At 35.9% G+C, this 14,268-nt stretch overlaps 1 protein-coding gene across 7 annotated transcripts in view; it reads right to left on the bottom strand.

Moving 5' to 3' along the window:
* COL4A5 (collagen type IV alpha 5 chain) overlaps positions 1 to 14,268 on the bottom strand; it is a 257,708-nt gene that overhangs the window by 11,967 nt on the left and 231,473 nt on the right. For 4 of the 7 annotated variants that reach the window (XM_047441810.1, NM_033380.3, XM_011530849.3 and 1 more), the window contains 5 exons: positions 10,826 to 10,834; positions 7,946 to 8,079; positions 4,828 to 4,900; positions 4,623 to 4,694; positions 3,691 to 3,819 (listed from right to left, as the gene is read on the bottom strand). In XM_047441810.1, the coding sequence (XP_047297766.1) occupies positions 3,691 to 3,819; positions 4,623 to 4,694; positions 4,828 to 4,900; positions 7,946 to 8,079; positions 10,826 to 10,834 (417 nt within the window). Of the gene's footprint in view, positions 1 to 3,690; positions 3,820 to 4,622; positions 4,695 to 4,827; positions 4,901 to 4,924; positions 5,351 to 7,945; positions 8,080 to 10,825; positions 10,835 to 14,268 lie in introns of those variants that run through there. The other 3 variants (NM_000495.5, XM_017029260.2, XM_017029261.2) reach the window with 2 other exon arrangements.

Below are 14,268 nucleotides of genomic sequence, written 5' to 3'. Positions count from 1 at the left end.
AGGGGCTTCACAGTGGGAAACTGATAGCCCACCAAATCAGCCTTCAATCTTTCTGCTGGATGATGTACAGAAAGCACCAGATCTTAAATGCATTTTCATTTCATTATAAATTTTTCTAACATTAATTAGTTGTTCAAATTGGAACAGCCAGAGGGGCTAACAGTAACCTGACATAGTCTAAGAGAAATTCAACCATGGGAAATTAACACTTTCAAGAAAAAAGAAAATGGAACTTGTGGTGGTCTGGTATTCTACTAGTTGCTTAGACTCCTATTGTCAGAGACAACCTCTGACATGTAAAAGGAGAACTAGGGAAATGTTCTCCAATGAATAAGCCTTAAAAGAATGATCTGCATAGGAGTGGTGAGAGAGGGCATCCTTGTCTTGTGCCGTTTTCAAAGGGAATGCTTCCAGCTTTTGCCCATTCAGTATGATATTGGCTGTGGGTTTGTCATAAATAGCTCTTATTATTTTGAGATATGTTCCATCAATACCTACTTTATTGAGAGTTTTTAGCATGAAGGGCTGTTGAATTTTGTTGAAGGCCTTTTCTGCATCTATTGAGATAATCATGTGTTTTTTGTTATTGGTTATGTTCATGTGATGGGTTACGTCTATTAATTTGTGTATGTTGAACCAGCTTTGCATCCCAGCAATGAAGCCGACTTAATCGTGGTGGATAAGCTTTTTGATGTGCTGCTGGATTTGGTTTGCCAGTATTTCCTTGAGGATTTTCGCATTGATGTTCATCAGGGACGTTGGACTGAAATTTTCTTTTTTTGTTGTGTCTCTGCCAGGTTTTGGTATCAGGATGACGCTGACCTCATGAAATTAGTTAGGGAGGAGTCCCTCTTTTTCTATCATTTGGAATAGTTTCAGAAGGAATGGTATCAGCTCTACTTTGTACCTCTGGCAGAATTTGGCTGTGAAGCCGTCTGGTCCTGGACTTTTTTTGGGTGGTAGGCTATTAATTACTGCCTCAATTTCAGAACTTTTTATTGGCCTATTCAAGGATTCGACTTCTTCCTGGTTTAGTCTTGAGAGGGGGTACGTGTCCAGGAATTTATCCATTTCTTCTAGATTTTCTAGTTTATTTGGGTAGAGGTGTTTATAGTATTCTCTGATGGTAGTTTGTATTTCTGTGGGATCGGTGGTGATATCCCCTTTATCATTTTTTATTGTGTCTATTTGAGTCTCTCTTTTTTTCTTTATTAGTCTTGCTATCAATTTTGTTGATCTTTTCAAAAAACCAGCTCCTGGATTCATTGATTTTTTGAAGGGTTTTTGTGTCTCTATCTCCTTCACTTCTGCTATGATCTTAGTTATTTCTTGCCTTCTGCTAGTTTTTTAATTTGTTTGTTCTTGCTTCTCTAGTTCTTTTAATTTTGATATAAGGGTATTGATTTTAGATCTTTCCTGCTTTCTCCTGTGGGCATTTAGTGCTATAAGTTTCCCTCTAAACACCGCTTTAGCTGTGTCCCAGAGATTCTGGTACATTGTGTCTTTGTTCTCATTGGTTTCAAAGAACTTATTTACTTCTGCCTTAATTTCGTTATTTACCCAGTAGTCATTCAGGAGCATGTGGTACAGTTTCCATGTAGTTGTGCGGTTTTGAGTGAGTTTCTTAATCCTGAGTTCACTCCTATTCAACATAGTATTGGAAGTTCTGGCCAGGGCAATCAGGCAAAATGAAGAAATAATGGGTATTCAATTAGGAAAAGAGTAAGCCAAGTTGTCTCTGTTTGCAGATTACATGATTCTATATTTAGAAAACCTCATTGTCTCAGCCCAAAATCTCAAGCTGATAAGTGACTTCAGCAAAGTCTCAGGATACAAAATCAATGTGCAAAAATCACAAGCATTCCTATACACCAATAATAGACAAACAGAGAGCCAAATCATGAGTGAACTCCCATTCACAATTGCTACAAAGAGAATAAAATACCTAGGAATACAATTTACAAGGGATGTGGAGGACCTCTTCAGGCAAAACTATAAACCACTGCTCAAGGAAGTAAGAGAGGGCACAAACAAATGGAAAAATATTCCATGCTCATGGTTAGGAAGAATCAATATCATGAAAATGGCCATACTTCCCAAAGTAATTTATAGATTCAATGCTATCCCCATCAAGCTACTATTGACTTTCTTTACAGAATTAGAAAAAAACTACTTTAAATTTCATATGGAATTAAAAAAAGAGCCCATATAAACAAGACAATCATAAGCAAAAAGAATAAAGCTGGAGGCATCACGCTACCTGACTTCAAACTATACTACAAGGCTACAGTAACCAAAACAGCATGGTACTGGTACCGAAACAGATATATAGACCAATGGAACAGAACAGAGGCCTCAGAAATAATGCCACCCATCTACAACCATCTGATATTTGGCAAACCTGACAAAAACAAGCAATGGGGAAAGGATTTCATATTCAAATGGTGTTGGGAAAACTGGCTAGCCATACATGGAAAACTGAAACTGGACCCCTTCCTTACACCTTATACAAAAATTAACTCAAGATAAGTTAAAGACTTAAATGTAAGACCTAAAACCATAAAAATCCTAGAAGAAAACCTAGGCAATACCATTCAGGACATAGGCATGGACAAATACTTCATGACTAAAACACCAAAAGCAATGGCAACAAAAGCCAAAATTGACAAATGGGATCTAATTAAACTAAGGAGCTTCTGCACAGCAAAAGAAACTATCATCAGTTTGAACAGGCAACCTACAGAATGGGAGAAAATTTTGGCAATCTATCCATCTGACAAAGGGCTAATATCCAGAATCTACAAGGAACTTAAACAAATTTACAAGAAAAAAACAACCACAATCCCATCAAAAAGTGGGCAAAGGATATGAACAGACACTTCTCAAAAAAAGACATTTATGAGGCCAACAAACATATGAAAAAAGCTCATCATCTGTGGTCACTAGAGAAATGCAAATCAAAGCCACAGTGAGATATTATCTCACACCAGTTAGAATGGTGATCATTAAAAAGTCAGGAAACAACAGATGCTGGAGAGGATGTGGAGAAATAGGAATGCTTTTCCACTGTTTGTGGGAGTGTAAATTAGTTCAACCATTGTGGAAGACAGTGTGGCGATTCCTCAAGGATCTAGAACTAGAAATACCATTTGACCCAACCATCCCATTTTGGTATATACCCAAAGGATTATAAATTATTCTACTATAAAGACACATGCCCACGTATGTTTATTGCAGCACTGTTCACAATAGCAAAGACTTGGAACCAATCCAAATGCCTATTAATGATAGGCTGGATAAAGAAAATGTGGCACATATACACCATGGAATACTATGCAGCCATGAAAATTGATGAGTTCATGTCCTTTGCATGGACAAAACCATCATTCTCAGCAAACTAATACAGGAACAGAAAACCAAACACCACATGTTTTCACTCATAAGTGGGAGTTGAACAATGAGAACACATGGACACAGGGAGGGGCCCATCACACACCAGGGCCTGTCAAGGGGTAGGGGGGCTAGAGGAGGGATAGCATTAGGAGAAATATCTAACGTAGATGATGGGTTGATAGGTGCAGCAAACCACCATGGCAAGTGTATACCTATGTAACAAACCTGTACATTCTGCACATGTATCCCAGAAATTAAAAGTATAATAATGATAATAAAGATGATCTGCATTGGTACCTGGTAAGCCTTGAGGTCCTTGGGGTCCTGGTAGACCCTTTAGCCCAGGCTGGCCAGGGATTCCTGGAGGACCAGCATCTCCTTTAATTATGATACTCTGTCCTGAAGGACCAGGTAATCCAGGAGGACCTATGAGACAAAACACACAAATTTGAAGGGAAAGAGAAAGGTTACAAGAAATGGAAGCCAAAGTGACCTAAGTTCAGGACAAAAATTGGTGTGAGAGAAACCAGTTTTTGAATTGCTGCCATATCTAACAGAAATCTGTTTAGGAAAACTTAAAATTGAAAAATAATTTTCAATTGAAAAATAAGTTTCTTAGGGTCAGTGTAAAAATTAAGCATATCATCTCTATTTTCAAACCTTGAATCTTACTCAGTTACTACAAAGTCTCATCCATCTGTGTTCAAATCTGTGAACACTGGTGTCAGGGGAAGACAATTTTATTCCCTTACACATCCATTCTGACTCCAACATCATTTGCAGTTTTTGCTTGCTGTGCTTGTCCAGGGACCCTTTGATCTAGTAGGGGAATTTAGCAGATTCCTTATTTCTCAATTTATAAGAAACCTCTATAAGCCTCTTAGGAAAAAGAACTATTTTAATATCGAAAATATTATAAAAAATTCATATGTGACTTGCTCTTGTGATCTGTTCAATTGAATTTGGGGAAGTTAGTATAGAAGCTAATGTCAAGGAAGCATTTTTGTTGATCCTGCATTTATCTTAACTTTAAAAGGTCTGCTATCAATATTATGTTACTAAAATAGAGAATTTAAGAGATTAGTAAATAAAGGCAGAGCCTTGTTTATTTTGCCTCAGTTGTTGGGGACTTAGCCTCCGATGGTCTGGCTGAAAGACAGAATGAAAACTTTCAAATTCTTTAAAGCATCTAAGTATCAGGTATAACTATCTTCAGGAATAAGTCTTACCTGGAGGACCAATAAGTCCCGGTTCCCCCTCAGGGCCAGCTGATCCAGGTACTCCACTGGGTCCTTTCATGCCTGCACAGAAGGTACATACAGTTTTATGGCAAAGCAACAGGGCTACAACCTTTACCCAGTCAAATCAGAAAATGGCTATCTTGTCCCAGAGGAGTTTAATATAAAGGGAAACCACAAAAATCCCTTCAAATACCTGGGAATCCTGGAACACCAGGGAGACCAGGATCTCCTTTCATTCCATTGAGACCCGGCCGGCCAGGATTACCCTGAATAAATAAAATCATTAATGTTACAAAAAAATTGCAGCGAGGGGAGGAAGGTGATTGAGGGCATAAGAATTACATAGTGGCATATAGCACTATTTCTAGAGTCAAACTTCCAAGACTGTAATCTCAATTTTGCCTTATATTATCTTGTGTGAATTGAGTTGATTATTTAACCTCCTTGATTCATAGTTTTCTCACCTCAAATTTGGAGAAAATAACAGTATTTACTTCATAGGGTTGTGGTGAGAATTAAATGAGACAGTTCATATTGTTAAAATATACCCCTGGCTGACAGACAAAATGAACTTCCCATGGCTAACTGAGGTGCGCAAAGTTAAAACACAACCAACTGGCCGTGGTTGGGTAAGGGAAATGTCACATACCTTGTGTTCTTGGAAAGATGTTGTAAAAGTGTCACAGGATCTCCCTTTGTACAATCAAGTCAAACCACTGCGAAGATAAACTGTGGCTTGAACACACCCCCTGCCCATTGGCCATTTGAAAGAAACATCTGGCAGACTTCTGGCTTTGGTTTTGGAAATCACCTGATCAGGGCTCAAGTATTTCAATCAATCAGAACTGATAAGTCTGAATCCTTCATTTGCATAAATGGACCTGGTTGAGAACATGGGTGAGAACTTTCCCTACTTAAGCCAAACCCTCCCTTTGTTCTTCAGAGATCACACTTTCGCTTGTACAGAAAGCTGTGCCTTCCCAATCCGCAGATTACTTTTTACAGAAAATAAAGCTCTTCCTTTTTCTCCTCTAGATCTCATTGTCTTTTGCTGACAATATTAAGTGCTTAGAAGACTGGTGTGTGGTGTGTACTTAATGAAAGGTAACTATTATTTTATTCTTTGTTTTTTCTTTCTTTTCTATAGAGATAGGATCTCACTATGATGCCCAGGCTGGCCTCAAACTCCTAGGCTCAAACAATCATCCCCCCTCAGCCACCCAACTACAGGAAGAATATAGAATAGCAAGATCATATAGGAGGCTATTGCTCTACTTCAAGTGCAGGACAACGAAGCTTATGTTAGTAAGAATGAAAGAGGAACAAGCCTGGAGCATCTTATTATGAAATAATATTAAAAAGTGCTAAAAAAATAGTTGGAGGGAAGTACATATCAGAAAAACATCAAATCCAGCTTGAAGGGGCTTCCAAATCTGGAACAATGAGAGCATCGAAATAAGTAATGATAGTTTAGAAATTGTAAATTAGTGGAAAACATGAGAAAAAATGAGTCAAAAATGATAAGAAATGCATAGGTAAACCAGAGAGAAGGGAGGGCTCTTGCTTACAGTAGGACTGACTAGTATATGTGGAGGTAGTGCTAGAGTTGAAACAACATCATTTTGCCACTATCCCACTAGAGACTGGTTGAGGCAAAATCATTAATAGATGTTAAATCTAAGGGAAATTTTTGATGAGTATTGGTATATTTGCACTATCTTAATGTGCCTTCCTACAGTTTTATTAGTTGCAAGGAAAAACCTAATGATGCAGTGGAGAAACTGAGCAACAACTTGACTGGATGATTAAAACTAAAACCACAAATGAGAAGCAGATAGACATCATGGACCTCCTTATCGGTTAGCCTGAGAAGGACACAGAACCACTCATGTAGTATTCCAGCTGGGGATGCATAACCTGAATCTAATTATGAATAAACATCAGGCAAAAAAGGAATATTCTATTTAAAAATGGGGGTGGTGGTACAATTTCTTAAAAATGTCGAGGTCATGAAAAAAAGAAAATAAACTTAGGAACTGTTTCAGATTAAAGAAGGCTAAAGAGATATGACAATTAAATGCAAAACATGACTTGGCCTGGATCCTGTACTGGAAGAAGAAATGCTAAGAACATTATTAGGTCATTGGACCCAACTGGAATATGAAAGATAGAAATTAATGTATATCTATGTTAAATTTTCTGAAGTTAATAAGTGTACTGTGGTTATATAATTAAAAAAAATTTAGAGACAGGGTCTTGCTATGTTGTCCAGGCTCGTCTCAAATTCCTGGCCTCAAGCAACCCTCCTGCCCCAGCCTCTCAAGTTGCTAGGATTACAGGCTGCAGCCAAGACATTTGGTAAGAATTTTATAAAATATAAACAATCCCATAGCTTTTTATTGTCATCTTATAATAAAACATGAGAATATTTTTAATCTTAAGAAATCTGCATTAAAATATTTAGTGGTAAAGGGGTATAGCAGGTGAAACTTACTCTTAATTGTTTCTGGAAATATGCATATTTATAGGGAGTGAGTAGAGAATGAGTAAACAGAAGTAAATTTTTAAGTCTAGGTAACTGGAAGAATAGTGATGGCATGGGGAAAAAGATTAGATTTTGAAAAGCTTTAAGGATCACTACTTTAAATACTTTTTTTCTGCCATAAAGCAGTCTTCAGAATTAAAAGACAGTCCAGATTGTGTTGACTGCCAAATCCACCAGCAATCATCTTGACCGAATGGAGGCAGTTTTGAGAACCCATAAAGAGGAATGTGACTCTCTGCTCTGGGTCACTCAAACCAACATAGAAAGCACATGAGTGGATATGTTATTATTCTCTTTTTATAGGTGAAGACAGAAACCCAGTGTCTGTTTTCCTCATAGATACAAAGCAGAAGTGTGCAGGGGAGCTGACATTTGACCCTAACTTTATCTAATTTCAAAGCCTAAAAGATGCCTCTATTCACCATAATTACTTCTCTATGGGTGGATTCATCTATATGCAATGCTCTAATATGCATGTCTCCTTTGCATAAATTTGCTTTCACTGAAATGAAGGCTACTCAAATCCAAATATGCATACCAAAGACTCCAGGTGAAGTATCTTTTCAGGAACTCTGACTATAATACAACAAAGTCCCTTTAGGAGACTATAGGAAACTTGCCTTCTACTGTCTTTTTAATTCGCCAGTGAGCCACACATAGAACCTTGTCTAGTGAGTGTTAATTAAAATGATGCAGCTTAGAATTCACATTTTGAATACAAACACCCACATTCTTCTCTCATCAGATATCTACTTCCATTTCCTACCTGGAGTCCTGGTGGTCCTTGATCTCCTTTCAAACCAGGCAAGCCAGGTAGCCCAGGTTGGCCTGGATTTCCCTTCTCTCCTTTAATACCTCCATTTCCAGGGAGACCTGGAGGACCTTCTGGACCTGGTAGACCTTAATAATCCACAGCAAATGACGACATTTCAGTATAGTGTTAAGAGTAGCATAAAAGTCAGGCTTTTAAAATATCAGTCATCTTCCTATTAGTTTGCAGAATAAAACCCACACAACATTAAAATATCTAGACCTATGCTGATTCCCTTTCTAATATAAATTGAACTGGATTCTTTTTGTTATGAACACTGATTTGCAGACTCTTTTAGTTTACATTTTATTATATATTAAATTCAATAAAATAACATCTAAAGAAAAAGACTCATGGCTTAACAATGTGTGGCTCTGTAATTCTTAACAAAGAGTTTGACTTAAAGTTAAATTAAACAGAAACTGTAGGGTATTTTCTCAAATTGGAGCATGCATCAGAATCAACTAGAGGGCTTGTTAAAACAGATTCCTGGGCCCACCCCAAGAGTTTTGGATTCCGTAAGACTGAGGAGACTGGTCTGAAGGTAGTGAGTTATCTCAATTGATTGTTCAGTTATAGATTGAACTCCTTGTTCAACTCTTTCCTCCCTTCTCGTTACTGCACTTGACCAGTCTTAAGAATAAATAATTTAGAAAAAAGAGACTTAGGAGAGGCCCAATAATTTGCATTCTAACAAGTGCTTTGTGGAAGCTAAAGCTGCTAGTTCCAGGACCACACTTTAAGCATCACTGCTGTAGGGCAATCAGAAATTCAAGCCATGTCTCATTGTGATTAAGATCAAATTGCTTTATTTGTAAGTAGTTACATTTATTCAGCTTTTATTACTATGCAATACAGATAGCAATTTAAGCAAACTAATTTCATTTTAGTGATATGCTTGATACATAGGAATTTTTTTAAATGTTAGAAATTTATTGAATCAATAAAGTACTTTAAAATTCATTTTTAAAATGTTTTCATATTCTTTACATTTTAAATATTTTTCAAGAAAAATAAAGAATTCTGTATGTATCTTGTGAATAAACAAAATAATTTAAAACTGGATTTTGCTTAGCATTTTTACTTTTGCTGTGTTTTTAATTTCTTTTTCTGAATAAAGGTATGAGGTCCATTAAGCAACCAGGGAGATCTTATCATTGGCCAAGTCTTTTGTCACCAGGTGGCAAATAGGTGTTACTTGCTTGCAGAGTGTTCAGTGGCTGAGGCTGAGACTAAGTAATCCTGCCTTAAGAAAATAATTACAAAACCCTAAATAATGAACAGCCAATAGTTAGCATTTACACCTTCTCTCCTCTGGTCATTTCAAATTTTATTGATTTCAACAAAAAATGAAGATATGTAGGGATTATTTTTTGAGGAACTATAATAGGCACTTGTTATGAATTTAGAATAGAGTTCATTCTTATGGACAAAGGGTTGTCTTTTTAACCTAAAATAAAATTCAGACTTTAGTTCCCTTTCCAATACTCTTAAGATTCAGAATCAATGGCAAAATACTAACAAGGCAGAATGACACTGTGATTAAGAACACAGGACTTTGGAGCTAGAATGCTGGGTTACAAATACAGCTCCATTAGTTATTAGCTGTTTGACTTCAGTAAGATTATTAATCTCCTTGGCTTCAATTTCTTCTTCTATAAAATGGAATTAAGAATAGCACCTACTTTAGCAGGTTGTTCCAAGGATTAAATGAGATACAATGTAAAAATTACTTAGCACAGTGCCTGGTATATAGTAGAAGCTATGGAAGGACTTTTTAAAATTATTATTATTTTCTTTATTAGTAAAATTGAAGATAAAAACAAATCTTAAAATATGAGCATCTTTTTAATCTTTCAGGTATTTCTATGTAATTTCATAATATAACATGACTCTATCTGGCATATGAGAAAGAGGAAGGAGATTTACAATAGTACAACAATTGTTTTACATTTAAACAATTTAACTCATATAGTCACCCTAGGCTGGCAACCAGTCAACACAGAAATTCCCTTCTCAATCATAACGAAAAGGTTTAGTACATTGTACATTTGAATAAAAAAACAGAACTTCAGTGTTCTAAGCAAACTTGTCAATTTAATCCACAATGTATGATTTGCACTAGAAATTAAGTAGCAAATCAGCTAATTATGAAAAATAAATAAACTGTGAATCAACCTGATAACAATAACAAAGTAAGATGGGAAAAAAAGAAACCTTTTATGACCCTCTACTCCATTTTAAAAGTTATCAGAACACTGTATCATCTGAAATAACCTAAGGCACTGCACTTTTCGAAATTAAAAAAAAATGGGAAACTTGCATGTTAATTCAGACCTGATGTTTAGAGTCCTTCAAATTATGAGTTATTAATTACATAAAGAACATATAAGTTTTATTTTTAACAGTATTCAATAGTATATCTCTGCCATCACTGAAAATAGCCATAAATACACAGATCAGGGCAATCTGAGAAAACAAAATTTTGAGAAAATAAAATCAACATTCAGAGATTACAAATAGGTCATATGCTTGCCTAAATATTTTAATGCAGTCTTGAAGGTAAAAATAAGTGTATTTCCGTTTAAAATTCAACATGTCTTTATGTATTGATTACTTATTATAAACAATTGCAAACACAAAGACCCTAACGTCATTTGAAACTTAATTATAATCAAGTCACATTACCTTCATCAAAATGTTAAAACCCCAGCTTGAGGATAACAGCACTCTCCAATGACTTCTGAATTATAGCAAAAAATTGCATTTCTCTTATCACACACACAAAGCATTAAAAAAAAAAAAAAAAAAGAATTGACCAGTGAAGAGTCTAACCTTGAAAACCTGGGAAGATCAGAGTTCACCAAAGCCCAAAGATCGATGTTAGCAGTATCAGACATCACACAGTACAAAATAAGATTATGAGTTAGAAGTGGTTCACATTATAGTACAAGTTAAAACAATAATGTTCTTTGCCAGCATTTCTTATACTTACAGCATAATCAGTATGCAAACAGAACCATACAGAAGTATAGAGAGCCAAACTTTTTCAAATAGAGCTTATTCTAAAGGATAAGCTGTTGGTCTTCGTTAATCCAGAAAATAGAAAACTCTACTGAAGACATCATGTTAACACTGCTACTGTGGCTTTCCAAAAATTAGCTTCTCAAAACATTAAAGTTGGCTAGATAGTACCATTTCACCAACAGCCTTCAAATTCCTTTAGTAAAGGGGTATTTTTGGATTAATGCTGAAGTTTATCTTGGCTTGTGTTATCTTTTAATAAAAACACCAGGTGCCAATTTCTTGATATGCTCAGACTGCTTCAAGAAGATACAGTTGACTTTAAAGGCCTCATTGGCAATAAATATAAAGATCATGGGTGACAGAATAGAAAAATCAAAACATGAATATACGATGGCCATTACCAACTGTACTTTTGCTTGTATTTGAAAAGCATTTCATGAAGCCACATTCTGATTTTTTTCATAATTCACCAGGAGGCTTTCCTATTACTATTTATTGAATTATTATTATTATTATTATTTGGACAGAGTCTCACTCTGTCGCCCAGGCTGGAGTGCAATGGTGTGATCTCAGCTCACTGCAACCTCCACCTTCTGGGTTCTAGGGATTCTCCTGGCTCAGCCTCCCGAGCAGCTGTGATTACAGGCACCCACCACCACGCCTGGCTAATTTTCATATTTTTAGTAGAAACGGGGTGTTACCATGTTGGCCAGGCTGGTCTTGAATTCCTGACCTCAGGTGATCCACCCACCTCGGCCTCCCAAAGTGCTGGGATTACAGGCGTGAGCCACCATGCCTGGCCTATTATTATTATTATTATTATTATATTATTATTATAGTACTTGCAATAAGTTACTTAAGGAGAAAAAGCCAATATATATTTGTACAACATTGAACACAAAAATAAAGATTCAACTTTTCCAAGATATGAAGCCTATCAGTGAAAGGGTACTTGAAAATGTTTTGGCATGCAATATCCCACCCCGAACCACAGAAAATATCATATTTACTCTATTATTATTCAATGCACATATTAAGACAGGCTATTCACTATTAAAAGAAGGATCATTAAATAAAAAGATTAAAAGCCTACAAATAGAGCACCCCTTGGTTAGTGTTAATTGACTAAAAACACAATTTTCTTTTCTTACAAGTTTTGCTATGATTTATAAGCACCAAATGTTAGCAGAGAGAATAAATTGTGCTAGAGCAATGAATCCTAGGAGTTGGAAGACCTAGGATCTATTTTTGACTCTGCTACTTAATAACTATATGACTTTGGGCAATTCAATCTTTCTGAGTATGGTTTTTTACCTGTAAAATGGGAATACTGGTATCTGCCCTAACCTCCCTCACAGGAATGTTTTAAAGATCAAATTCAAGTTGTAAAATACTGGCCTAATGTCTGCCATGTGCAAGGTGCTACAGGAAACACAAAGATGAGCAAGACTCAAACTCTGCCCTTAAGATGCTTACAATAAAAGTACATTATATGATGTAAATTGTGGCATGTCATATAAATAGAAAACATTATCATTATCTCCTAATAAAACTTTCAAAGCATTTGATACTTTGAAATTCAGAAAGCTAAATATTGGCTTCTGTTTATTTAAATTGTTTCTAAATCACAGACAGCAAATTAACTCAAGACAATACTTAGAGCAGAGTCTGGCCACAAAATTAGTTAAATAAATTAGAATTCCCAACTAAGACAACTCAAGGTTTGAGTAAAGACATTTTATATATGTGTTTGATATAGAGGGACCAATAACAAGAACTCTCAGCAAAATATTTCATTGAAATATGACATTTCAGCCTGAGTAATTAGCAAGGAAAACTGTGGATCATATCATAGCAAAACTTCTAAGACTCTATTTTAAAAAGCAACATTTTAATGAGCTATATGCCAAGTCAATTTTTTTTTGTATGAGGTCCACAATCCATTATTTTTCAACTGTGTAACAAAGTTAAACTGAAAAAGAAAACAAAACAAAAACCTAAAATATTGTCCATAAGTAGTAATTACTAAAGGTATACTGATGAATTGACTGGTATATTTTAAATTCAGTTTCCACTTAAGGTTGTAGTCTTGCAAAGAAGAAAACATCACAGAGACCAAGTTCCAACAACTATGCAATTTAGAGCACATTTTGTAAATAATAAATTGTTAAATTTCTTTTAAAGGAATGTGGCTACTTTTCTTTTTCTTCTTTGAATATATTATAGTAACTCAGAAGATAGAAATCTCCTAGCTAACAGTAGAGTTTAGCAGTAATCAAAGTGGCAAAATTCTATGTAGGTCAGATAAGGTGGGACTCAACATTACTTCAAAGTAACCCCCTAGTCTTTGCTTTATCTTAGTGATAGTTAAATAGTATGCACTGTCTTAATCTTTTTGATGACATCATTTAAGAAGAACACAAGAAGCAATCTGGTTGATGGAGGTGTTGACGGAGCTTTTGAGGTAACAGAAAACAAGAAAGTGGATGCAGCGAACAGTCTGCTCCCTGTAGAATAGACACCTAATTGATCACTGGGGAGCCTTAAGTCAGAGTCCCAGTTATGCCACTAACTAACAGTATTACCCTGAGCAAGTTTCTTAACCTCTTTGGGCCTCCATTTTTTCATATGTGACAAAGATTCCTTGATCAAACTTTAGACAGGCTCCTCTGAGCCCTCCTCTCAATTAGGCCTCATCCTTGGGCCTACTTTTTGGCCTTCCAAATCCATTTACATCAATAATCCTGCTAAATCGGTTTAGAGAGAGTCCCTTCACCCCGATATCTGATCAAGTTCCTGATCTCCCACCTTTGATGTCTAAATCCTTGGCCTGTTTCTGGCAAAAATCCTGTTGGGCCAGTTTAACAAGAACCCACCCCTCTCTACCCTTGATGTCTCCTCTTAGTAATTTTCCATTACTGGCCCTCTCACTCTGCTCCTTGGCTGTAAATAATCACTTTTCTTTGTTGTATTTGAAGTTGAGCTCAGTCTCTCTCCTACTGCAATAGTTTCTACTCTACTGCAATAGTCCTGAATAAAATCTGTCTTGTGGATAATTTCTCCTCGACATAGGTAAAACTTAGGTCCCTTCTAGATCTGACATTCTATGGTTCTATGAAATAATGAGTTTGCAGTGGAGTAAGAAACTAGAGAATCAATTCAGGTAGAAACAAATGGCTCCCTAAAAATAATCTTGAAAAATTATTTTTTTTAATTTTATAAGATGAAAAAATGTCCTGCCATTCTCAACA

This window comes from Homo sapiens, chromosome X, assembly GCF_000001405.40.
Source record: "Homo sapiens chromosome X, GRCh38.p14 Primary Assembly".
Taxonomy (NCBI): Eukaryota; Metazoa; Chordata; class Mammalia; order Primates; family Hominidae; genus Homo; species Homo sapiens.
This window is presented reverse-complemented; position numbering and strand designations above follow the sequence as displayed.